Genomic DNA, 25,374 nt, shown 5'->3' with positions numbered 1-25,374 from the left:
ATGTTAAAGGTTTGAGTTCCTTGGGACCACCCCAAGTATCTTTTAGCTTTTTTACTGAGAATCATGACAGAGGCTGAGTCCATTAAGGGGCTGCTTCAGGTTTACTCATTTAGTTTCCTGACTCTAAACATTTGCAGTTTAATTGTTGGCACACAGAACAATTTCTGAAAGGCATTTCTGATAGATATTATTTGTTGTAGCCTTGGCTTTGCCACAGTTAGATAGTTGAACTTGAGCGAGACTTTCAGTCTCACAGAGCCTTGGCTTCCAACTTTGGGACATGGGACTAACTGAAAGTGATGCCTACCCTATATGTTTTTATAAAAATCAACACACTAGTAGGTCCTTAAAGACGGTGAACAGATCAAATTCATCTTCGAATTATCATTGGTAAGCTAATGCCTAGCACAAAGCTATTACCATTAGAAATTCTTAGGATTAGTTTCATTGGTAATGAAGTCAATAAACATTTATTGATTACCTATTGTATGGCCGGTAATGTTTGAGGTATTGAAGGTATAACTGTGAACAAAATATAAACATGTCATTGCTCTCTTGAAATGTACTTTGTGATAAATCTTTTTGGGAGATAGAGGGTTAAATTAATTTTAATATACATATATTAGATATACATAAACATATATATTTGGGAATAACAGCATATATTTTAAAATATACAGTTTTAGATTGAATAATATTTAATTACAATACATTGTTTATGTACAATGCATTGCAATATTCTTTTCATTGGAAAAAAATTCTAGGCAGTTTGAACTTTAAACGTTCATCAAATTGTTTTTTGCAATTACTATACATACCAAGGTATGTGTTGTCTCAATATTTAACTTGCCTTTAAGGTAATTCTCTTTTCTACATATTTTTTTTCACTGACATTGAAATTCCATGGAGATATTTTACAGACAGTGTCCTTGGTCATGGTATTAGTTGTGCTCATGATGGTCAAAGGAAAGTATTTTTAGAAGAAAAATAACCTTGGTGGCCTTGTATTTAATTGGCAATAGCTGGAAAGGACTGTAATATAAATATTGAGATTATATATATGGATATATAGACAATTAAACTACATGTTTGTCCCCCTAAAAAGGACAGAAAACATAATGGAAATTTCAGGGGCCAGATTTTAGCTTATAAGCTAATCACAAGTAAATATTTTTTTAAAAAAACAGATAATAACAACATCATTTTGCCATGTTTGTGTGCGTGTGGGTACAGGTGCACCTGTGAAAATGGAATAGACACCATCAGATGCTGTGAGTTCACTGACATGAAACAATCACTTTCTGGATGAGGCTGTTATAAACAGTGTTAATAAGTAATTTCAATAACATGACAAGGCAACTGACCCTGGCTAGGCCAGTTTAAAACCTCCAGCCCCATAAAATGGAGTACTTAGGGAGGTATTTGGTGCTATGATGAAAAGTTCATCCACACAGGCAATTCACCACCTATTTACTGAACACCCATAATATGCTTGGCACTGAGGCTACAGAGAAGAAGGAGCTTCCCCATTCCCATAATGGAAAGAAGAACACTCAGAAGACTCCATTAGACAGGAGCAGGGGATGTGGTTTAGAAGCCAGAGAGAAATGGATTTGAGTCCCAAACCCCTTATTTACTAATCATGGGAACTTAATCATTCTCTCTGCTTTCAAATCATCAGGTTTACCAAAATAAAGATTCACAAGCATTCACATAGCCCATTCTACTGAGCAGATGCATAGACCACTTTGCTTTTCTAAATCTGCATTTCTGATAAAGTTCCAGCCTGAGAGCTGAAATTGCACCATTTAGGGAGAAACATGGCATTCTCTGTTTCATTAGTCAGAAAACCTGAAATCATTATATATTAGCTAAAACAACAGCAGCTGATTTTTCCAGGCCCTCTGACTCTGCATAATGTATTGCTTTTCACTGTGTTAGTTCATCATTCAGAAATGCAGTATATCCTAAAACTGACCCAGGCTAAGAAAGGAGATTTTATTTATCGTAGGATTAAAGTTTTGACAAAGGCAAGTATTGAACTGGATGTTTCCTGACTTACGTGGTAAAACAAACAAACACAAAACTTTAGAATGAGTACAGTTTGATTGGAAATGACATATAATTTTAATAGATTGTTTCCACCTGCTGTCCAGTACTTAACTATAGGATGATGTAAAAGTCACTTGGCATCTCCCACAATCAAACTCTTTATCTTAAAATGGGAGATCATTCACCTTTCTTATCGGATTATCGTAAATGTTAAAATAGATAATGTCACTCAAAAGCACTTTATGAATTATAAAGCAAATATAAAAACATATATATATACTTTTTTCTTTAGAAGTTAGCATGTATCTAGCACATTATAGACACTCAAATGAGTTTTGAATAAATTAATAAATTTATTCAAGATAGTAATCAAATACTCCATTCAATCCTTACTTCCAACAAGCAATTTTAAGTTTGGAATACAGGCATAAGAATATTTAATTTACTGATTACTTTCTTGTGCCAGAGGAATTAGTCATTTCTATGTCATTAGGCTAGAAATTAAACTTGGAAATAAACCAGGAATGAAGATATTTTAGTCACTGATGAAACATTATATTAAAGTTAACTTTTTAGATAAAACTGAGGTTTTTATATGTCTGGTAACTGAAAGCCATAAAATAGTAGCACTGGTGTACAAATATTCCCACCACAATTTTTCCACAGATGGAAAACCAAGAAGTTTAGGGGACTTACCTGAATTCTACATGAACAGAGAGGATCTCTTGGATACAAAGTGAGATGATATTACTGGACTAAAGAATGCATCAATTGCAAGGAAAAGATTCCATAGATGTCATCTTCATCTGTGTATCTGTTAAAGAGAAGTATACATTTTTTGTGTGAAACTGAGAGCACTGTACTTTTGAGATTGTAAAGAATTCACTCTCTATTTCATTTGAAATATTATCCATATGTGTTTCTAGAAAAAAAAAGTGTTCTAGTCTGGTGAGAAGTCTGTAGCAGCTGAAATTTTGTTAAATGCCAATTGTGTGCCAAGCATGCCGCTAAGCTTCTTGCACACATTATGCTATTTAATTCCCTTTGCAATCCAGTGACATAGGCATTATTATTGCTATATTATTAAATAAACTGACAAAAAATTATAATCTGAAGATTTAAAAATAACATGTCTAACATTACATTCTGGCAAAATACAGAACTGAGGAAGTCTACCTTCAGAACTTACAGACCTTTTATACTTATGGAGGATGCTATGTTACCTCCCAGCATGCACTTGTGATCAGCAGTTTATGATTCAGTAAAGAATTTCAATATAGGATTGTGGTGGTGTTGTTGTTGCTGTTGTTGTTGTTGTTGTTAAAGCAAGTTCATGCTGATATAAATTGAGTCAGAGGAGGAATTAGAGAGCGTAACACATAACTAAAGCATGTTGCCAAGGAAACTCTGTTGGCAAACCAAGTATCATGGAGTTTAGGGATGTAAAGGCACTTGTCTGTAGCCACAATTATTTTCTTGATCATTCTACAGATCAAAGAGGAGATATTAGGTACTCTAACACTATGGAAAGGCTAAATCGTGGGTTGAACATGAATTTTTTTGAAGCTGATTTTAGATGTCCAGGAACTTAACACATTCCCTTGAGAAATTGTAAATCATTAATTGAAACTTTCTTCGGAAATTCTAGAGAAGCTACATTGAGGCCTTTTAATGTCAAAACTTCTATGAAGCCCCAGGGGAGCCCTTAACTCAAAGTCAGAAAACAAGGTTCTGACCCTATGAGGTTTCCGAACCAAAGTTCAGGTAGGGATGAAAGTGTCTCTTAAAAACTAACTAGGAAAAGGAATGAATGTATACGATGGCCCAGATATCCATGACCTCTGCACCATTATTCACCTGGGAGCAGCCACTATACTGGAAGCGTAACATGTAGAACAATCAGAGGAAATTTATTCAGGTCTGACTTTGCTATAGGCAGTGCTTATCCCATCTAGAAATTCTGTGTCCTAGTATGTTGCCGCAATGACTTTTTGGATACATTTTTTGTTTATTTTATATGTGTATTTGCTTTAAATATCCTTCTCTGGTAATAAATGAATACTTTTCTTTGTGTGTGTGTGTGTGCGCACGTGTGTGTGTGTGATTCTGATGCTATCTTCTCATATCTGGGAACTTTTAAAAAATTTTACCTTCTTGTAATTGTGAGAGCTGTTTCTCTTCTGGCTCTACTAATATCCTCAAACTTCTCATTCAATTACCTAAAACTCTTTTCTTCTCCCAATTATCTCATCTCTCATACCCTTCACTTTAAAATATCCTTTTCTTTCCATTAGTATTTATACTAAATGCAGTCAATTCTTGGCCTCTCTTACGCAATTAGGTGAAGCTTACATTTCAATTACAGTGTTTAAAGCTATTCCAAGAACATGAGCTATTGGCTGCCCCTATTAGCCACTGTCCACAAACACAAAGTTCTGGAATATAAAGTCTGTCCTTGATCCTGTGATCTTGCAATATAACATTAGCAGCCAAAGGTTTCTCTTGTTCTATCGGTGTGTTTCAGCTCCTATCTTGTATTCTGTGTCTCTGGTCACTCAGACTGAATTCTCAAGAGATAAGGCAAGAGCTTTAGATCCAGCGTGATTCTTCAAAAGGCCCATTTTCACCAATATTTTAGTGGCTTGGTCCATGAAAATTGTCTGTGCTTCATTTCCAGTGTCTTTCTTGGCCATCGTATCTTCAGATTTCCTGTTTAACTGTTTCACATTCATCTCAATGAGTGCTATAAAATCACAAAGCCAAGGAAGAATAGTCTCTTAGTGGCAGCATAAAATTAGAAAAGATTGGCAGATAGCACCCAGTCTTAATACCTTTATAGAATGTGTTTCATAGTGCCCGCTGAACAATTGCGCATATGAAATCTCAAAGCCCATAGCACATATATCAGCAATAATTTCACGGAAGCAGGCTCTGGCTAATATGTGCAGAGTCTTATATTACTTTATCAAACTGTCTTTGTGTAATTAGTCTGTCTGCAAAGCCTGGCATATAAATTAAGCATCTAATTTATCTTGACTGGCCTCTGGATTGCTTGATCAGTCTATTCTGCCTCTGTGGCTCTTTAGTGAATGCCAAGTAAAGTAAAGGACCCTCTGGCAATAGGGAGAGAGAAGAAGCAGAAACTCCCTTCGAGGTCAGAGGAAATTTTACATTGACTCATCACTGACACATGGGCAGAGAGCGTGGCATTCCTTCTGATGACAGCAATCTTCATTGAGTGGGGAGGTGGGGGGTCATAATTGATGTCCCTGGTGGCAGGTTACTTTGTATCATGGATGGTGAATAATAAATAAGCACAACACAAGCTGTGAAGTCAGGTTTACCAAATGAAATCAAATTAAAAGTAAATTGTACTTTCCTCCTCATTCAACACCATTTCTCATAAACCACTTATCAATACAACTGCAATCTGTACAACTATAAGAGACAAGTTACACAGCTATTCAATCCTGATAAAAACAAAATAACTCCTGTAGCCATAATCATTCCTCAAGAGCATTTAATTTGTGGGCTTTTGCATTATTGCTATCAAAACAAAATCTTGCAGCTTTATTGGAATACATAAATCTCTTTGATTTAAGGATACTTTATCTCTCCTTTTCTCAGATGAATTTGAAATGGCACAGACTTAAATTTTTATGGAGTGATTTCTGGGGGGAAAGGCTGACATAATTTTTGGCACGGGACATTGTGTTCTGCTGACAACTCAGAAAGTTTGAAGGAAATGTGTAGCTCACTAGATAGTTTTTCTCAGAGTGTATTCTCTTCTCTGCAGTTGTGGATGCATACCCAGTAGGGTCGTGTGTATCCTTCTATATATGAGGAGGCACATCCATTGTGAATGTCTTACCTCTCTCCTGACTTTGTAATTGGGTACACAAGAGGGTAACAAGAGGCCTGGATGCATGAAATAAGACTATTTGGGCCATCATCTTGTGACTTTCTACCAATGAGGATTTATTCTGCTTTTAGAAACAGGCCATGATTGTCTATGGCAACCATGTTTCACAGTGAATTTACCAGATCTCTGTTTTTGCCCCAACTCTCCAAAGACTGTATGACTTAGTGACACATCTGAGACTTCATGGATCTTCCAGATAATGAGGGCTGACCCAACACTACAAATCAACTCTGTCATTACCTGATTTATATTAACATAGCAATTCCACATGCTTTATTTAAAAAAACACTCTTTTTAAAAATAAAGAACAAAATATACAGTGGCTTTAAATATTCCCTGGTTACAGATCTACTTGGTGGATATTTCAGACAATAGAACCAAGAAGATTTTCCAAATGGAAGCATGCTCATGTCTATGTTGTTTGATATTCAAATAATAAACACTTCTCTTTCTAGCATAAGATTATATAAAAGTGCACTGTATGTAAAGGGTTAAGAGAGGTAAGGGTTTGGACCTGTGTAGATGTGAGCCACAGTCTGAGGAAGTAAATGCTATATGGCTATGTAAAGATGGTTGATTCTTTTCCAAGGCAAAGGCCTCAACAAAGAATGGCTATTACTGATTTATTGAAAAACAAAATGCCAAAGTTATCTTCATGGTATTTTGAGTCATTAAAGACTCAACTAGAAGGTCCATTTTAGGACTCTAAATGCAATAATCAACTGTGAAGACTGAGGCCCATGAAAGAAAAATGACCTTCCTAAAGTCATACATTAAGTTTATATTAAAGGGATTGCTAAAGCATTGGACTCTTAAATATCAATACTGGGACTCTATCATTTCATCTGTTTGTTTATTTATCTGTATGTCAGGCACTATGTTAGGACTTGGGATTCAAGGAAGATAAATGGAAACAGATATTTCTGTTCTAATGGCCTCTGGTCAATTGTGGAGCCCAACATTAATCAAATAATCGCTCAAATAAAGAAGGTAAATTATACATAATGACAATGAGAATATGTGTAAAGAGAGAAGGCCAAGAACAGAATAATTTATTTCTGCAAGCACATGGAAGGGAAATAATCGGAGTGCATGATAATGAAACAGGTTGTTTTCTGTCATGGGCTTTCTTGTAAACATTATTTAAGATGCATCTCAGGGATTAGCCCTTCCCACTTCGCCTTCTCTGACTTTCCTAAGGTGATTTTGCAAAAACAGTCTCAGTTGTTCCATTTGCATATCTCTTCCACCACCATTTTGGATTGAATGATCTGCCTTTCCCATTAAATCAAGCAGTTATGAATGGGAAAGGATCTTGTCTTGCCTAGTGTTAGATTTTTACACGGTATGTGAACATATTTTTATTTTCAGGCAGGAAGAAAAAAAAGAACAAAGAAGAATACGATAGTAAGAGAAAGTCATTGGAAGCAGACACTACTTGAGGTCCACAATACATTCCCTTGGCCCCGCTAGTTTCAGCGTAGCACTGGGGAACAGCATTTTGCAAACTTCCAGAATCCCATCTCAAGGGACCCTGTGGCAGCTTTTAGGCTTTCTCCAATGTCGAGTGACTGCTCATCTGGTCGCATAGGCACAGCCTGACAGTACAGGGGAAGGGGAGCTCACTTAACACCTGGGGTGGGGTAGAGGGTAAATCCTCAAACAAAGAGCTGCAGAACTTATTGGATAAATGCCCACATTCTGATCATTTGCTAGAACATTTTTGTGGAACAGTTTCCATGGTTCCATAGGTCAGAAACAGGATTGAGTCACAGTTGTCCATGATGGTATATATGTCAATAATGTAAACTTAACTGGCTTTCTTGCTTCCATTGATCACCTTCTGTTTCTTCACTCTATTTCTTTAGTTTTGTTTTTGTTTTTGTTTTTGAGACAGAGTCTCCCTCTGTCTCCCAGGCTGGAGTGCAGTGGTGCGATCTTGGCTCACTGTAACCTCAGCCTCCCGAGTAGCTTCCTAAGTCTCCCAAGTAGCTGGGATTACAGGCGCCTGCCACTACACCCAGCTAATTTTTGTATTTTTAGTAGAGACGGAGTTTCACCTTGTTGGCCAGGCTGGCCGTGAAATACTGACCTCAAGTTATCTGCCCGCCTTGGCCTCCCAAAATGCTGGGATAGCAGGTGTGAGCAACCACGCCCGGCCAGCCTAAGACAAAATTTTAAAAACAAAAGACGACGACACCAAAAATCACTGCTTGTACCCAACTCTATATTTCAGACACTGGGAAAAGCGAAGAGGCAAACTAAGATAACCTTTTAAGTGGGAGGAGTCACAAATTAATATCAGATCCTGCAGAAGGTTCCAGCGAACCTATTATTTTAAAACATTAGCATTAATTGGACACTGATACTCTTCAAGCAACAGGTTTAATTGAATTGTTGGGATTTACAACATAAAGGGTATGAATTGAAATATAAGGAATTGTGTAGAGCTGGAACCTACTTTTGATTCTCAATCTTGACTGAACCCCAATATTACAAAGGTTTAAAACTTGCTGGTACTCTAGATCTCCAAATGAGAGTTTTCTGGGAGTGGCATCTAGTATATATGTCTTACAACAAAACAAAAACAAATAAGCAAAAATTTCCATAAGATATTTTGATGCACAACAGGATTAGTAACTACTTGGATGGTTATCATTAAAAAATTTGCTGGGAGAAATATACTACAGGTTCCCATCATAACATGAATAGATCTTAAAGCCATAGTACAAGAAAAATTTTAAAAATCAAGTAAGATCTATTGTATAATACAACTTAGGTGAATAAAAAATTCATGTACACAAAAAGTGTAGAAATTATACATAACAAGAAAAATATATACATCAACATTTTAGAAACATTGTTCATGAGAGGATGAGAAGGATGTGTGTGAAAAAGGAGGAGAAAAGGAAATCAGTAAAGCAGGAGAGGAAGCCTCGCACAGGCTACTGACAAGAGCGTGCTGAGAACTACTGAGCATGGTTAACTCATCCTATTATATCCATGTCCCACTCTCAAAAATATTTCCTGAAAACTGGAAGGACATATTTATCACAGATTATGTTAGTTGGAATGCTGCATCTATGTGTTTATACATTGATATACACACATTACAAGAGGGAAATAAAAAACCTTTAGCTCAATTGGCTTCCAAAACCAAATGACCATTGCCAATAATCAATCATCAATATAAATCTTCTTCATCTACTGGATTCGTAAAGCAATCATCTCTGCAGATAATCAGTACATTCTCATCTGCCAATCAAATCAGTGGTAGCCAGAGCTAACAAAAAGCCAAAACTGAACATGGAAGATAAAATGATAAGACTGCATAAATTAAGTGAGGTTAGTTCTCAGGCAAAGATCTCAGAGACTGGAACGATGTAGGAGAAGACAAGTCGAATATATGGTTCTACGTGGGAAGAAGTCTCCAAGAGGAGGCAGCATCCTCCAGCATACAGGATTCAGCGATATAATATATACTCCCATGTTCTTGGTCTTGGTATCTACTCAAAGTTTACAATCCTTTTTTTCCTCCCCTAAATCCAGGGAGTTAGGGACAGAGGGTCTCACCTTTGATTAGGGGAATTTAGTTTAGTATCTGACTAAATTACTTTGCTTCCTATTTATTCTATGGATGATTCTGTTTTTTGAAACAACATAACCTTTTCCCTGGTAAAAACTGAAGAATATAGCTGGGCATAATGGCTCATGCCTGTAATCCCAGCACTCTGGGAGGCCGAGCGGGGAGGATCACTTGAGCCCAGGAGTTTGAGTCCAGCTTGGGCAACACATGGAAGTCACATCTGTACAAATAACAGAAAAAAAAAATGAGCTGAGTGTGGTGACAGTTGCCTGTAGTTCCAGCTCCTCAGGAGGCTGATGCAGGATCATTTGAGCCTGGGAGTTCCAGGCTGCAGTGATCCATGATTGTGCCACTGCACTCCAGCCTGGGTGACAGAGGGAGACCCTATCTCCACCTCAACCCCCACCAAAAAAAAAAGAGGAGGAAGAAGAAGAAGAAAAACAAGAAGAAGAAGAAGAAGAAGAAGAAGAAGAAGAAGAAGAAGAAGAAAACTGAGGAATATGATTATCAAACATCTTTAATGTCTCAACTAGCAATGTATAATAATAGAATGATAAAGATGATAAAACTGCCTATATACTTTTAGTTATAAATTTTCCACATATGAAGTTACATGTGCATCTAGTTAGATAGGTAGATAACTCTTCTCAGCTCAAGCAACTGTCCTCTTTTCAGCTTTGAATAATTTCAATATGGACATTTTTAAAGTAGAAAATTAGTATAGGAGGTCCAAATATTCACTAAATTATTTGGATCCACTTAGTTTCACTTTATAATGCCAAGGTTATTCGCATGCAAGCAATATTCTTAGTTATCATCTCCAACTTCTTAATATTTTCAACATTTTAAAAAAAGTAGCTTCAGAGGAATACGTGATCTGTGTTTTCTTAAATAGATTACACCTACCCAAATGTGTTTTTAGTACCCAGATCCTCAAATAAGATTCCAAATAATGGTTTTAATGCCTTCTCCCAAGCTTAGAACAGTATTAACTGCTGATGTAAAATTATGTGACAGCAAATTTGAACAAAGAAAAATAAAATGATTTCCATGTGGCCATTTTTCTACCAAGCATATTTCTAAGAAATATTAAATATGATGACATGCTAACTATATTACAAAAACTTACCTAAACGGACTACATGTGGTAGTAACAGCACTTTTGATTTTAATTAAAATAATGCAATGAAATAAACAATATTACATGATATAGTTCAATTAAAGAGAAATTGCCTGTTTGGGGCATTTTTTTTTAATCTCATTTTTTCACTTGCTCAATTTTAGTACAATCCACCTCCTACACTATTCCAGTATAAGTCAAATAACAGGACTTAAACTGTCAATTTCTTAAGAACTTTGTAACATTCAGGTATAATACACTACATAAGTTGTGCATTTCAGTTAACATAAAGTCACTTCTTCCTGCAGTAGCAGTAATGGGGAAAAAGTGCCACTTCTGTTACAATTAAACCAGGTCTCCATGCGTAGCTTAACATTAAGCAGAACCATGTGTGGAATTCTGCAGAGAAAGCAAAAAAGAGGTGACTGTGAAATATGCTGATCTGGCTACAAAGTAGTTGGTTCAATTTTCACATGTACAACAGCTTCAGTTGGTTAAAAACTTAGACTTGTAATTCCTCCACAACTTATTATCTTGTGACTCATCTGCCAGGGAAGAAATGTCTCAGACTGTGAAATTCAGCAAAACTCTGGTTTATGGAGGTTGCTCAACCTTTAACTCAGATTTCTCATCTGAAAAAAAAAAGCCTCATGCAATGATTGTCAGGATTAAATGAGATGGAACCTAGGAAACACTTAAAGGGAGCTCTGGATAGGATGAGCGTTCAAAAAATGTTAGCGATGATTTCAAAGCAACATTTTAAAATAAATGAATAAGAGCCTGAAATCTGCAAATACATCTGGGATGCACTGGGGCTATGTTTGGAAATTTCTTTAATGTCCAGCATATGAAAACAAACAAACAAAGACATCCTCTGTTCCATTCCTTTAAGTCACTATGTAGTTTATTATAACCCAAATAAAATATAATTTAAAAATATAGAATAATTCTGTGGTGGTTTTCCTGTGGCAAATGAGCAACAAAGCTATATATATATTTTTCTAAACTGACAGTAAATATGCTCATTTATTTGATTTATAAATTGACACTGGATACTGTTATTTAGTTTAGAATATATTATTATTAGGCTATTGCAGGACAGGTCCATATTTAGAAACATAGAATAGTCTGTTTTTTGTTGCATAAATGTTCAATTATTTAGACTGGTTACATTTGACTGAAATGTGTGAGGGATGTCAAATAAATACATAAATAATTTTATAATAAATGTTTTTCTTTAATTTTGAAAGAATTTCCTTTACTCCTTGTGCTCCCCTGTTATAAATGGATATTCTTCCTTGTATTAATGGTACTTGGCCTTAACATATTAGCTCCTCTTTTAATACTGTTAGATTCTAAATATATAGACTTTATCTCAGGTAGCCTGTGACTCTCAAGGGCCAGAATAAAACATAGTAGGTGCTAAGTACTTGCTTAAAAAAAAAGAAAATGAGAGATCATGTCGGATATATCATGCTGCTCCTGAGCACTTTGCACAGCACTTTTTACCTGGTAAATTAGAGGAAATGTTGGGAAATTAATGAATACCAGTATGCCAAATAAATAAGGTAAGATGCTTTCCATCAAAAATGGGACACAGTTTTTATTAAAGTGCTAACAAATACCATAGAATTGTTAACATAAAATATACTTTTAAAAAGGAAAAAAATCTATAAACTATTAGAAGGAGGCTCACTATTCTAATGAACTGTAAGTCTATAATCTTGGCAAAGAACAAGATGTCTTTCTACTTGAGCTCTAGAGTACCTACTTTAGGGTTAAATCAAGTTACTTGACAGCATGTTGAAGCTAATTTCATGATCCATCAATTAAACTAAAGCTCAAAGTCAGTAGTAAAACTTTGGTACAGCTGCTGTGCATTCATTTATATAATGGAAAGCACTACACAAATATTTGCTGAATCAATTAATCAATAAACCAACAATGAATAATTGTTGGACAGATGGCAACTAGAAAATCTAGGTGGATCAATAGGAGAGAACTCCACAATCCTGATAAGCCCAGAAAAGTTAAATCATTGTTTCAAGTTCACAAAAAATTTAAGATTCATATCCTGCCATCTAAACTTTAAGGGTAGGACTTCTTCTAACCAATATTCCTGAACCTTTTAAGAGTCACTTATTGCTGAAAAGAACTCAGTATCATTGGGCATTAAAACTGCATCCTTAGTGCTAAAATCAGACTGAGATTTTGAATAATGGCACTGCCCTAGTAATCATGAAGCAACGTTCTCCTTGGAGTCGATCAAATGTTTCCATTAGCAAAAATCAGTGGCAAGACACTGTTCCCCTGGAGTGACATTTCCTGCAATCATTTTATGCTTTAACAAGACAACTTGCATTTTATAACTTTGTAATCCCCAGTTCCCCTCATTCTTCTTGACTTTGGAAATGTCTCTGAGTTTATTGCCAAATAGAAATTGCCCCGGGAAAGAATAGTCATTGTCTATGAGAGATAGAGAGAGAGAGAAAGCGCAGGGGGAGAAGGACAGACAGAGAGGTTCTAAATCTCAACAGTTTCATTGCAGAATTGATAAAGATATTTTACAAAAACTTTAAAACACAGAGAAAATATAAGGAGTCTTCAGAAGTTGGATTGAAATATTTCCCTGTGCTAGAGAAAAGCAACCCAAATATAACTTTGAAAAATAATCTTTTGTACTTTTTACCATACTTTAAGAAGTATTGCTAATTTTTCAGATTTCAAATATAAGGATATGTATTCATCCTGGGTAAGAATGCAAGTCCTATAAATCACAATACATATAGTCTTGTCTTTTTTCATTTTAATGGTAAAATGAGCATAAATCTGTGTAAGTTCAAGTTAGGAAAACACACGAGTAATGATTCAGAGAATCAAGAATTTGCTATCTCATAATCCTGACCTTGGAAAGTTCACAGAGACAACTCCAGAACTTTCCCGAAGGAATATTGTTTCTTCCATTGTATACTGAAAATATTTTATATAGGCTTGGGAAATAAATGTATTGTGAGGCAGAAATAATGCGCTAGTTTGTAATGTCTTACAGTGCAAAGGCTAATTGATTTTTATGCAACTGTTTTGCTAATAACTATGATTAGGGTTTTTGAATTACATAAGTATCACAATTCATATAAGATAACCATCTAGCATGTAATAATAGCTCTGATCAATTTATATAAATACACACTTATTAGCTTTGGCTATGGGAGAATATGAGGAGTGATATCTACATTTGCTAATTTTCCTGACTTTGCTTCACATATTAGCTTCTATTTGATCCCTATCATGGCTTCATATAAATAAATCCTTACTCATAAAAATAGGTCTTTTTTATATGGCCAAACTATTGCTAATGGTCAAAATGCCTCTGCCAATAACAGAATTTATTTAGAGTTGTTCTAAGTCAATGTGTCAAGTCACTGTGGCTTTTCTAAATGTCAATTTTATTTAGACATGAAGAAAAAAGTTAGAATGCATAATTTAAGTGACATGGAATTGGCATAAACAGGATCTGCTACATTCAGGATGACTATTCTTTCTTATACTATATCCCTTAAATTGTATGCCATGATATATCTTCTATACCTTTGCATCTCATATATTTTTATCTAATTCAGAAAGCTATGAAAATGATAGCAGATAATATTTAGGATGATATGCCAAATTGCAGTCCTAAGAGGTTATATGTGGATTTCTTTTGAATCTCACAATAAGTTCAAGAAAGGGGTATCATAGTTAGTATTTTCTGCACATGAAGTAACTAGAGCTGGGAGACATTTAGTAAACCAGTTAATGATGGGGCAGCAATATAAAGCCCTCCAGGGTCTGGGTAGTGATATGAGGAAGGTCCTGAATAATAACGTAACTAATATCAAAGACTTAGATATATGAGTAGATAATTAATTATATTCTGCTTGATATAAAGATGATACTCCATCATTTACATAAGTTCATTGATATATCCAGATTTGGCATAAATATCAACATCTAACGTCATTCAGAGGGCAGGCTCTTACTCAAAGGGTCTGTATGTCTCTGTCTTAGTCCATGTAGGTTGCTATAACAAAACACCACAAACTGGGTGGGGTGACTTATAAAAAAAAGAAATTTATTTCTCACAGTTCTGGAGGCTGGGAAGTCCAAGATTAAGGCACCAGCAGAATCTGTGTCTGGTGAGGGCCCACTTCCTGTTAATGGATGGCTGTCTTTCTACTATATTCTCACATGGTGAAAGAGGGAAGGGAGTTCTCTCCAGCCTCTTTCATAAGGGCACTGAAATCATTCATATGGGCTTTACTTTTATGGTCTACTCGCCTCCTAATGGCACCACCTCTTCATATTATTACCTTGAGGTTAGAATTTGAACATATAGATTTGTAAGGGGGGTTGCAAATTCTTCCTGTGGTCCTCCAAAATTCACATCCTTCTTAACTGCAAATGCATGCATTGCAATCCAATAATACCAAAGTCTTAATTCATCCTAGCATCATCTCAAAAGTCTGAGGTCTCCTGTGAACATTATCTAAATCAGATATGGGCAAGACTCAAAGTATGATTCATCCTGAGGCAAACTGCTTTTCAGCTGTCCACCTGTGAAATCAAATGTACTATGCACTTCTGAACTACAATGGTGGGAAAAGCACAGAATAGACACACGCATTACAAAATAACAGAAATAGGGAAGAAGAAAGGAGTAACAGATCCCAAGGAAGCTGGAAAGTCAACAGGTCAAATTACATTAGATCCTAAGTCTTGAGAATAATCTTCTATGGCTCTGTATGTTCCATGCCCACTAGGGCAGAGGTCTCACCTTACGCACATTGGAGTAATTGTCCTATACCCCCTGTATTGCCAGGTTGGGCCCCCAAGTCTCTGAGAAGCCTCTTTGGGTGGTCCCACACCAACTACAGCTTTGTGCCTGGGTTTTGAACCAGCTCTTTTCAATGGCTGGACTCCCATGTGTGTGGCTCTACTGTTCTAGGGTCATTCATACAGCCTCTGCACTTTGCCCTAATGGAGGCTCCTCTGCACTTTGCCCTAATGGAGGCCCTCTGCAGTGGCCCCTTGCTCACTGGGACTCGGGATAAGAAGGGCAGTCTTGGATTATTTTTAATTACCTTTGGGGTCATTCTTTCATTGTCTTGTACAACAGCTCCTGGCCTCTGTTCGGATGGCTGACTGATCTCCTTAACACATGGTTATTTGGCCACATCCTTCTGGTTCTCTCCTGAATAGAGAAGGTTAAGAGGCTCTCTTATTCTTTCCAACATGGATAGACAAGAATGTTCAAAATCTTTACATTCTGCCTCCTTTTAATCTTTATGTTCTGCCACTCGCCCAGGCTGGAGCACAGCGGCATGATCTCAGCTCACTGTAATCTCCACCTCCCGAGTTCAAGCAATTCTCCATCCTCAGCCCCCTGAGTAGCTGGTATTACAGGTGTTTGCCACCTCACCCAGCTACTTTTTGTATTTTTTAGTAGAGATTGGGTTTCACCATGTTGGCCAGGCTGTTCTTGAACTCCTGACCTCAGGTGATCCACTTGCCTCAGCCTCCCAGAGAGCTGGGATTCGTACAGGTGTAAGCCACCATGCCTGGCCTCTTTTAGTTAATGATTCTGTCTTTAAGTCATTTCTCTCTTCTCAGATTTTATGAGGAGCAGTCAAGTAAAACCAGGCCACTCCTTCAACCCTTTGCTTAGAAACTGACTCAATCAAATATCCAGTTTTGCAGCTTAAAAGTTCTACCTTCCATTAAACACCAGAAGACAAGCACAATTCAGCCATATTTTTGCCAGTTTATAACAAGAATTGTGTTTCTTCCATTGTCCAATAACATGTTCTTTATTTCTGTCTGAGACCTCATCCGATTGGCTTTAGCCATCCATATTTCTATCAACATTCTGTTCAGGATTATTTAGATATTCTCTAAGAAGACTGAGGCTCTGTCTTCAGTTATCCTCTTTTCTTTCTGGTCTGTCACCAAAAACACTCTTACAGGTCCATTTATGGCAGTGTAGGCTTTTTCCAGCATGCACCTCAAAACTTTTCCAGTCTCTGCCCATTCCCTGGTTGTAAAGCTGCTTCCACCTTTTAGGTATTTATCATGGCAGCATCCCCACTTCTCAGTGCCAAGTTTCTATAGTAGTTTGTTCAAGTTATTATAATAAAAAAATACAGTAGTGTCTTATAAACAAGGAAAATTTATTTCTCATAGCTCTGGGAACTGGGGAGTCAAGCATCAAGGCACCAGCCAGTTCTGTGTCTGATGATAGTGTCTCTCCTGGTTCATAGATGCATATATTTTCACTGTGTCTTCACATTGTGGAAGTGGGAAGAGAACTCTCTAGGGTCCCTTTTATAAGGGCACTAATCTCATTCATGAGGGCTTTGCTCTCAGGACCTATTCACCTCCTAAAGGTTCTATTTCCTAATACAATTATCTCGGGGTTAGGATTTCAACATGAATTCAGACCATTGCAACCTCAGTAATAAAAATTGCTCGTTAGCCTGGACAACACATTTTTTGACTGTCCCTTACATACTGCACTGCATTTTCTTTGTTTTAATTGAAGCCCAGTACCTTCAGTGAGGGAGATGATGGCTCCAACTTATTAAGAATGGGCCTGCTCAATTACCACTCAATACACGGACAAACTGAAAGCAAATGGCCAATAAGAAATGATTAAAAGGGCAAGTCTCATGTTAGGTACTCCAACTACACATACACACACACACACAAACACACACACACACACACCCCACATACACAAAAACATGAGAAAACTTTGGGAAGTATGTCTATTGCCTTGATTGTGGTAATGGCATCATGGGTGTTTGCCTATGTCCAAACTCATCAAATTGTACACATTAAATATGTTTCATTCTTTATATATCAATTATACATCAATAAAGCTGTTAAACAAAAAGAGAAACAATTAGATGGAAGAAATGAATCTGAAATTGAGAGCATCTGCTGAATTGGTAACAGAAATTATTCTGAATGGTTTGAGAGAGAAAACACACTTTGAGTTGGGGGTGAATTAAGGACATGAGAAATTATACTTTTAACACTTCAGTGGTGCTGTAAGATTTGAGAGTCTCTCTTTTTCACAGAAGAAACATATCAGTGGAGAGAAGTTTTTAAGTAGCTCTTTCTTGTAAGAACTTCAAACTATTTTTAGCAAGTCTGAGAGTTAATAACCATGATGTCTGAAAACCAAAGAGTTGTTTTATGAGTACATAGACCATTATTAGGACTCCTTAGGGAGAAGAAGAAAAAAAAATAATGCACCATATTGGCAAGTCACTGCATATTATATGAAAAATAAAACATATAACTCTCTTTATAAATATATATCATGTCTACTCTAATTTCAGAGCAGCCCTAACAGTTATATTGCCTTCATTTTAAGAAATATTTTTGCATTCATTTAACAATTAAAATAAATTAAAGGAACTAACAAACTCACGTCATGAAACTGTATGCTTTGTCCCAAGATACCAGAGAAAATTAAAGGTTTATGATAGGATGCTGAATTACATACTTATAAAGTCACTATTCACTCTGAGGGTCTACAACTGTCTAGTAGATCAGGGTCAAATTGGATAGTAATTATAACAATTACATTACTCACATCTCCTTCAGCGACTTCCCAGGGAAGTCAAATTACGGAACTGAAAGGAGGTAGAGGAAGAGGTTTTAGGATTTCCCATGGAGGATGCATTACTACAGGACTCCTTACTCAATCACAATCTCCACAACAATGACTGTCCATTCTCTTCCCCATTCCTCATCTGAAATATTGCTTCAGAAGTTACCAAAGTTGACCTCTCCCAGAAATGCAACTGAAACAAATGATCTCAATTCTCATTTTATTTAATTTTTCAGTAGCATCTAACATATGGACAGTCTCCTTTTTGCAACTCTCATTGCTGTTGCCCTTAGGTTAGGTTATTAAGAGAATAAATGTTTTTGAGATAAATGATATTTGATATGATTGTTTAAAATTTTTAGATCAATGGTGTTCCTATCTATTCTCCACTTTATTTCTGACTTTGAAAAGCTTCTTAACATCTCTAAGCCTCAGTTTCCTCTTTGGAAAATTTGAATAATAATAGTGCTTACATTATACAGTTGTTAAACAGCCAGGCACAGTAGATCATGCCTGTAATCTCAGCACTTTGGGAGGCCAAGGCAGGAAGATCACTTGAGGTCAGGAGTTCAAGACCATCCTGGCCAACATGGTGAAATCCCATCTCTACTAAAAATACAAAAATTAATTGGGCATGGTGGTGAATGCCTGTAGTCTCAGCTACTCAGGAGGCTGAAGCACAAGAATCACTTGAACCCAAGAGATAGAGGCTGCAGTGAGCCAAGATTGTACCAGTGCACTCCAGTCTGGGTGACAGAGCAAGACCCTGTCTCAAATGAAACAAACAAACAACAACAACAAAGAATAAGATAGTATATATTAAGTATTTTACATGTACACTGGTATCTTTTAATCCTTTGGCAAACATGGACTAATGTATTTTGTTTTAGCAAAAAAGAATAGATTGAAAGAAGACAGTAAACACCCCGAAATCCTTTGGAGAATGCAATGAGCTGGAGAGTGGTTGGGATCTCCATGAGATCATATGTCAAGTGAGATATTTCACTTATGGGAACTAACACTATGTCTGCTACATTATAGGCCCACAAAAATCTTATGTATTCATGGATGAAGCAAGGCCTGAGTTGGGCTTTAAGGATTGTTGCCTTTGTGTGAGCAGAAATGATGGGGCACTATACCCTTAAACAAAGCCTCTTCTGTCTTTTGTTGAACACAAAGATGTAGCCTCAAAAGACACTTCTACTTTAAGTCTCCAACTAAGTTTTATATAAAGAGGTTCAGTGTTTTTAAATGTTATGTTCATCTTTCATCCATCAATTTGCTTTTTGACAGGTTTGCTGTCAGCTGAGTGTAATGTAAAGGTGTAAAAAGACTTCTTTTATGAGTGAAAAGATTCATAATTCTTAACTGTTATTATCACAGCAAATCACTCTAAATGAAACCTGGAAATATTTATTGGTGTAAAATAGGATGGTTTTTGTGAAGTTGCATTGAATAAATGTCTACTTCAGAATATTTACTGAATCTGATTTATCTACCCCACCTTTCCCAGTCTATGTCACTGCTTAAATTCAAGTATCTATTTCTTACTTGTTTCATGACAATCAAATTCCAAATTTTTCTTGCCATCTTCTAACTTCAACATACGTTATGTTACTTTTCCTTGAACACAATGCTAATCATCTTCCTTTTGTTAATTTGTTCCACAGATCTCACCTTGCCATGATTACCGAATTATAGCCCTACCAGTTGGGCTTATTTTTCGTGAAACTCCCACACAAACTATATTCTCTATCCACAATGTCCAGTGCAGCAGCCACTAGCCATCTATGGCTACAAAGCATTTGAAATGTGCCTCGTTCATATTGAAATGAGCTGTGAGTATAAAATACACACCAGATTTCAGTAACTTAGCACAAAAAAAAAAGAAAATATCTTATTATTTTATTATCAATACCATAATGAAATGATACTACTTTGAATATATTGTATTAGATTAGATATACTCTTAAAATCACTTTTACCTGCTTCTTTTCAATTTTTTGATGGGTCTGCTAGAAATTTAAAACGTGCATATGTAGTTCACATTATATTTATTTTGGACAGAGTTTTCTCCAGATAAAAAGAGCTAATGTATAGAAATCAGACACCTCTCATTTTTGTTCTTGCTCTTGGGCCTTTTCTTATAAACTTTACTGCTTACATTGAACAAACATTTATTGAGTGGCCACTAGTTAGTAAGCACTTTTGTCTATATTGGGAATATAGAAAAGTTCCAGGTAGATAACTTCTGACTTTCTTAGAGCTTATATTTTCATTTGAGATATCAAAAAAATAAAGCAAGGAAATAAACATAATCACGATAATTCAAATCGTAATTTCAAATTGTGATAAATGACATGTGAATAGGTGATGGTAACATATTTGATAATTCCTGGTGAGTGGGACTTTATAGCTTCACCGAAAAAAACCTCTATGAAAAGGACACATTTAAATGAATATGAGAAGAATGAATGTTAGTATTTTCCCTATTTGTTTGAGATAGACAGATGTAGATAAAGAAATATGTGGAATATATGTAAAAATAACTACATGAATATAATTAGTTTTTTATGTAAGTACACATTCTGATTGATTGGTAGTGGCTGTCCAGAGTGCTATCATTGATTAGTGATGTGTACCAGGGTCTATAAAAGATCAATAACACAGACTGTGCCATGTATTTTTCCCTGACAGATTCATAACCACACAATCACATGAAGAAACTATGCAATACTATTTATTTAGTAATAAATGTCACAGGATCTTTGGTGTGTCACTTCATCAGCTGGAAACCTCTGTGTCCACTGGTGCTTTCTGCCTGAGTATTGCTTGCACCTGTTGAGCTCATTTTGCCCACTCAGACTGGCAGGCTGCACTTGGCTCATGCTACCAGCCTGGATCCGACATCCACCAAGGGTGGGCCAGGCACAAAGAGATGAGTGGTGTGTGGCCGAGCAAGTGCAGGGTCCAGCCACTGCATACAGCCAGGCATGCCAGCTGCTGTGGCAGGGCAGGCAGCTCCAGGTGCTGACACAGGTGCCGGCTCCATGTGAGGCTGCAGCTGGACCAGATGTACTGCACGGCAGCTTCCACAGCAGGCACCTATGTCTGGACAAGGGGAACAAGGTGGCACCCTGAAGCTTGGAGATGCCAGGAACTCAGAGCCCCAAGAGAGTAGTCACAGCCCTGGCTTGGGGAGCCCCTAGGTCTGGGGTGTCCAAAAGGCTACAGATCTTCTCTCCTTCTCATTGCCTGAAACATGGCAAGCAGTGGGCATGTTTCAGCCCTGTTTGTGTTACAGTTCTTTCAATCCCCCCATTCAGCACGTCTTGAGTTCTTGTCCTGTGTCCAGAAGAATGAGGTATGTGGACAACTGAAGGTTAAGCAAGGCTGAGAAGAGCATTACTGAACAACAGAACAGTTCTCAGGGGACCAGAAGAGGGAACTCCTTTCTGCAGGCAGGTCCTCTTGACAAGTGTCCAGTTCTCTGTGGAGAAGAGACCCGCAGTGGTTAGCTCCTTTCTGCAGGCAGGCCATCCCACAGTCTGCGTGAGTCTGGCTGAGTCTGAGGGTTTTCACGGGCTCAGAATGGAGGAAGTGCATTCTGATTGTTCCATGGGAGGCCATGGGAAGGCTCAGATAAAGCACCATAAATTCTCACTCCAGGCTGTGGACTCCACCTGGAACTGACAGCTTGGCCTTCAGGCTTCAGGTTGTCCCTGGCTTGAAAGTGGGGTTTCTCTAGTAACCCACCCCTTTCTGCACCAGAGCCTGTCTGCCTCCTACCGCCATCAACACGTTGTCCATGGCACTCAAGCTATTCATGCCAAGAAACACCTGCAGGCCCTGGCAGAGCTGCCTTGAAGCCCCTGCTCAGCCTCTCTCCCATGCTCATCAGCACCCAAAGTCCTGAGGGAGCCAAGGCAACAGGGGCCTGATGTGTCAGCACTGCCCTGAGTGTGCACACACAGACTGCAACAGTGCCTAGGCTCAGCCACAGCTTTGCTCTGCCCTGGAGTGGGCACGAGGAATGGGGAGAGGCCAGGCAGTGGGAGGAAGCACTTTCAAGCCTGCAGACACACAAGCCACAGGCATGCTTGTGTGTCTGGGATTGGTGGATTCTTGGTCTCACCTACTTCAAAAATGAAGCCGCGGACACTCGCGGTGAGTGTTACAGTTCTTAAACGCAGCGTGTCCAGAGTTCTTCCGATGTTCGGATGTGTTCAGCCTTCTGGTGGGTTCGGGGTCTCGCTGGCTCAGAAGTGAAGCTGCAGACCTTCCTGGTGAGTGTTACAGCTCTGAAGGTGGTGCGTCTGGAGTTGTTTGTTCCTCCCGGTGGGTTCATTGTCTCGTTGGCTTCAGGAGTGAAGGTGCAGACCTTCACGGTGAGTATTACAGCACATAAAAGCAGTGTGGACCCAAAGAGGGAGCAGCAGCAAGGTTTATCGCAAAGAGCGAAAGAACAAAGCTACCACAGTGTGGAAGGGGACCCGAGCAAGTTGCCACTGTTGGCTCAGGCAGCCTGCTTTTATTCTCTTATCTGGCCCCACCCACATCCTGCTGATTGGTCCATTTTACAGAGAGCCGAGTGGTCTGTTTTGACAGGGCTCTGATTGGTGCATTTACAATCCCTGAGCTAGACACAAAGGTTCTCTAAGCCCCACCAGAGTAGCTAGATACAGAGCGTCCACTGGTGCATTCACAAACCCTGAGCTAGACAGGGTGCTGATTGGTGTGTTTACAATCCCCTAGCTAGACATAGAAGTTCTCCAAGTCCCTACCAGAGTAGCTAGATACAGAGTGTCCATTGGTGCATTCACAAACCCTGAGCCAGACACAGGGTGCTGATTGGTGTGTTTACAAACCTTGAGCTAGAGACAGAGTGCTGATTGGTGTATTTACAATCTCTTACCTAGGCATAAACGTTCTTCAAGTTCCCACCAGACTCAGGAGCCCAGCTGGCTTCACCCCGTGGATCTCGCATTGGGGCTGCAGGTGGAGCTGCCTGCCAGTCCCGAGCCTTCGGCCGCACTCCTCAGCCCTTGGGTGGTCGATGGGACTGGGCGCCCTGGAGCAGGGGGCGGCGCTCGTCGGGGTGGCTCCGGCTGCACAGGAGCCCACGGAGGCGGGGGTAGCTCAGGCATGGAGGGCTGCAGGTCCCGAGCCCTGCCCCGCGGGAAGGCAGCTAAGGCCCGGGGAGAAATCGAGCGCAGCGCCGGTAGGCCGGCACTGCTGGGGGACCCAGCACACCCTCCGCAGCCGCTGGCCCGGGTGCTAAGCTCCTCATTGCCCGGGCCGGCAGGGCCAGCCCGCCACTCCGAGTGCGGGTCCCGCCAAGCCCACGCCTACCCGGAACTCCAGCTGGTCCGCATGCGCCGCGCGCAGCCTCGGTTGCCGCTCGCGCCTCTCCCTCCACACCTCTCTGCAAGCTGAGGGAGCCGGCTTCGGCCTTGGCCGGCCCAGAAAGGGGCTCCCACAGTGCAGCGGCGGGCTGAAGGGCTCCTCAAGTGCCGCCAAAGTGGGAGCCCAGGCAGAGGAGGCGCCGAGAGCGAGCGAGGGCTGTGAGGGCTGCCCTCATGCTGTCACCTCTCACCTGGGTCTGGAGCTGCAGCTGTGCCCAGAAGTGTGGGCTCCCGCTGGCCTTGTGGAGCGCACAACTCTGGCCACACCCCCCACTTCAGCCAGTTTCTTCTCAGCAGCCACTCCAGAGGGACCACCTCTGGCATCTTAAATACATTACCAGCTCTGCTCCAAGATTTTTTCTCCCTGGGATCAGGTGAGGTGGACCAGAAATTAATTCTGTATAACAAAAAAAGAGACAGTTCATTGTACTAAAAATTAATTCATAGCCTAACAATTAATAAAGCTGCAGATCTTTAATAAGTTTTCCTGATTATTCTCTGTATGCATGAAAATTTTCTAATTGCATTCAATATTTTTTTATTCACCTCAAATTTGGCCAATTCTCTTTTCATCAGTTTTGCATCTGGGTGTCTGGTTGAGCCTTGGAACATCTGTGAGGCAGGTGTACTGCTTATGCCTTCCAAAAGGATGCAAAAAGCAACATGGAATGCAGACCAACAGATGGTGTAAAGTAAAAGAAAATCTAGAAGTAGCATGTGCAGGAGAGAATTTATTCAGGCCTATTATATGCTGAAATAGACATGCCCCTGAGTGACTTTTTCCATTATTCCAACAATTGTCCAATGTCTCTTAGAGGCAAATTCCAGTGACATTGGTTTTTCGTAACCTGGATAATTTTTCTTAAGTATGTGAAACTTTATTTTATTTTTTATTGCTATATAATAATTGTACATATTTATGAGGTAAATGTGATATTTTGATACATGCATATAATCAAATCAAAGTAATTAGAATATTAATAACTTCAAATATTTATTATTTCTTTGTGCTGAGAACATTCCAAATGTTCTCTTCTAGCTATCCTAAAATACGCATTAAATCATTGTTAACTATTGTCAGTCTATTGTACCATCAAACACTAGAACTTATTCCTTCTATCTGGCTGTAGTTTTCTACATAATAACCATCTTGTTTTCATCCCCTATTACCTCTACTCTTCTTGGCCTCTGGTAACCATCAGTCTACTCTTTACCTTCATGAGATCAACTTTTTTGGCTCTCACATGTAGGAGAGAACACGTGATATTATGACACGAAGAATGTTGTGTACCACCCAAAAGAATCTTCCTCACTGAACTGTGGGACAGAACATTCTGGGCCATTAGTTCTACCTTCACCAGATAATCAAAAATGAATAATAGAATTCTGCAATAATCTCAGACTTTTCACACATTTTGAAATTCATTCATGCCTTTTGTAAGAATTTGTTTTAACTTTTTACTAATTTGAATATATATTCTTATGATAAATTAATAATTATTATTAATCACTTTTGACATTCTCCTTTAGCACAAGTTACCACATTCATATTTCATTAAGACAGCTAAACATTTAGCAAAGTTAGTAAAAACAATATACATACTTTATTAATCTAGCAAACCTTTATTTTGC

General features: G+C 38.4%; 2 long non-coding RNA genes across 3 annotated transcripts in view; both read right to left on the bottom strand.

Annotated features, from left to right (window-relative positions):
• LOC105371310 (uncharacterized) overlaps positions 1-23,340 on the bottom strand; it is a 134,908-nt gene extending 111,568 nt beyond the window's left edge. Inside the window, exons 1-2 of one of the 2 annotated variants that reach the window (XR_001752234.1) lie at positions 23,253-23,340; positions 2,749-2,866 (exon numbers count right to left, since the gene is read on the bottom strand). This is a non-coding gene — a long non-coding RNA (uncharacterized LOC105371310). Of the gene's footprint in view, positions 1-2,748; positions 2,867-15,800; positions 15,907-23,252 lie in introns of those variants that run through there. The other variant, XR_001752233.1, reaches the window with a different exon arrangement.
• Positions 21,056-22,615, bottom strand: LOC105371311 (uncharacterized). The gene is made up of 2 exons (XR_001752237.1): positions 22,477-22,615; positions 21,056-21,827 (listed from the first exon to the last, which is right to left on the bottom strand). It is a non-coding gene; the product is annotated as an uncharacterized LOC105371311 (long non-coding RNA).
• Positions 23,341-25,374: the final 2,034 nt, after the last annotated feature.

This window comes from Homo sapiens, chromosome 16 (assembly GCF_000001405.40).
Source record: "Homo sapiens chromosome 16, GRCh38.p14 Primary Assembly".
Lineage (NCBI taxonomy): Eukaryota > Metazoa > Chordata > Mammalia > Primates > Hominidae > Homo > Homo sapiens.
Note: the sequence above shows the minus strand (reverse complement) of the source record. Positions and strands in the feature narration are given on the sequence as shown.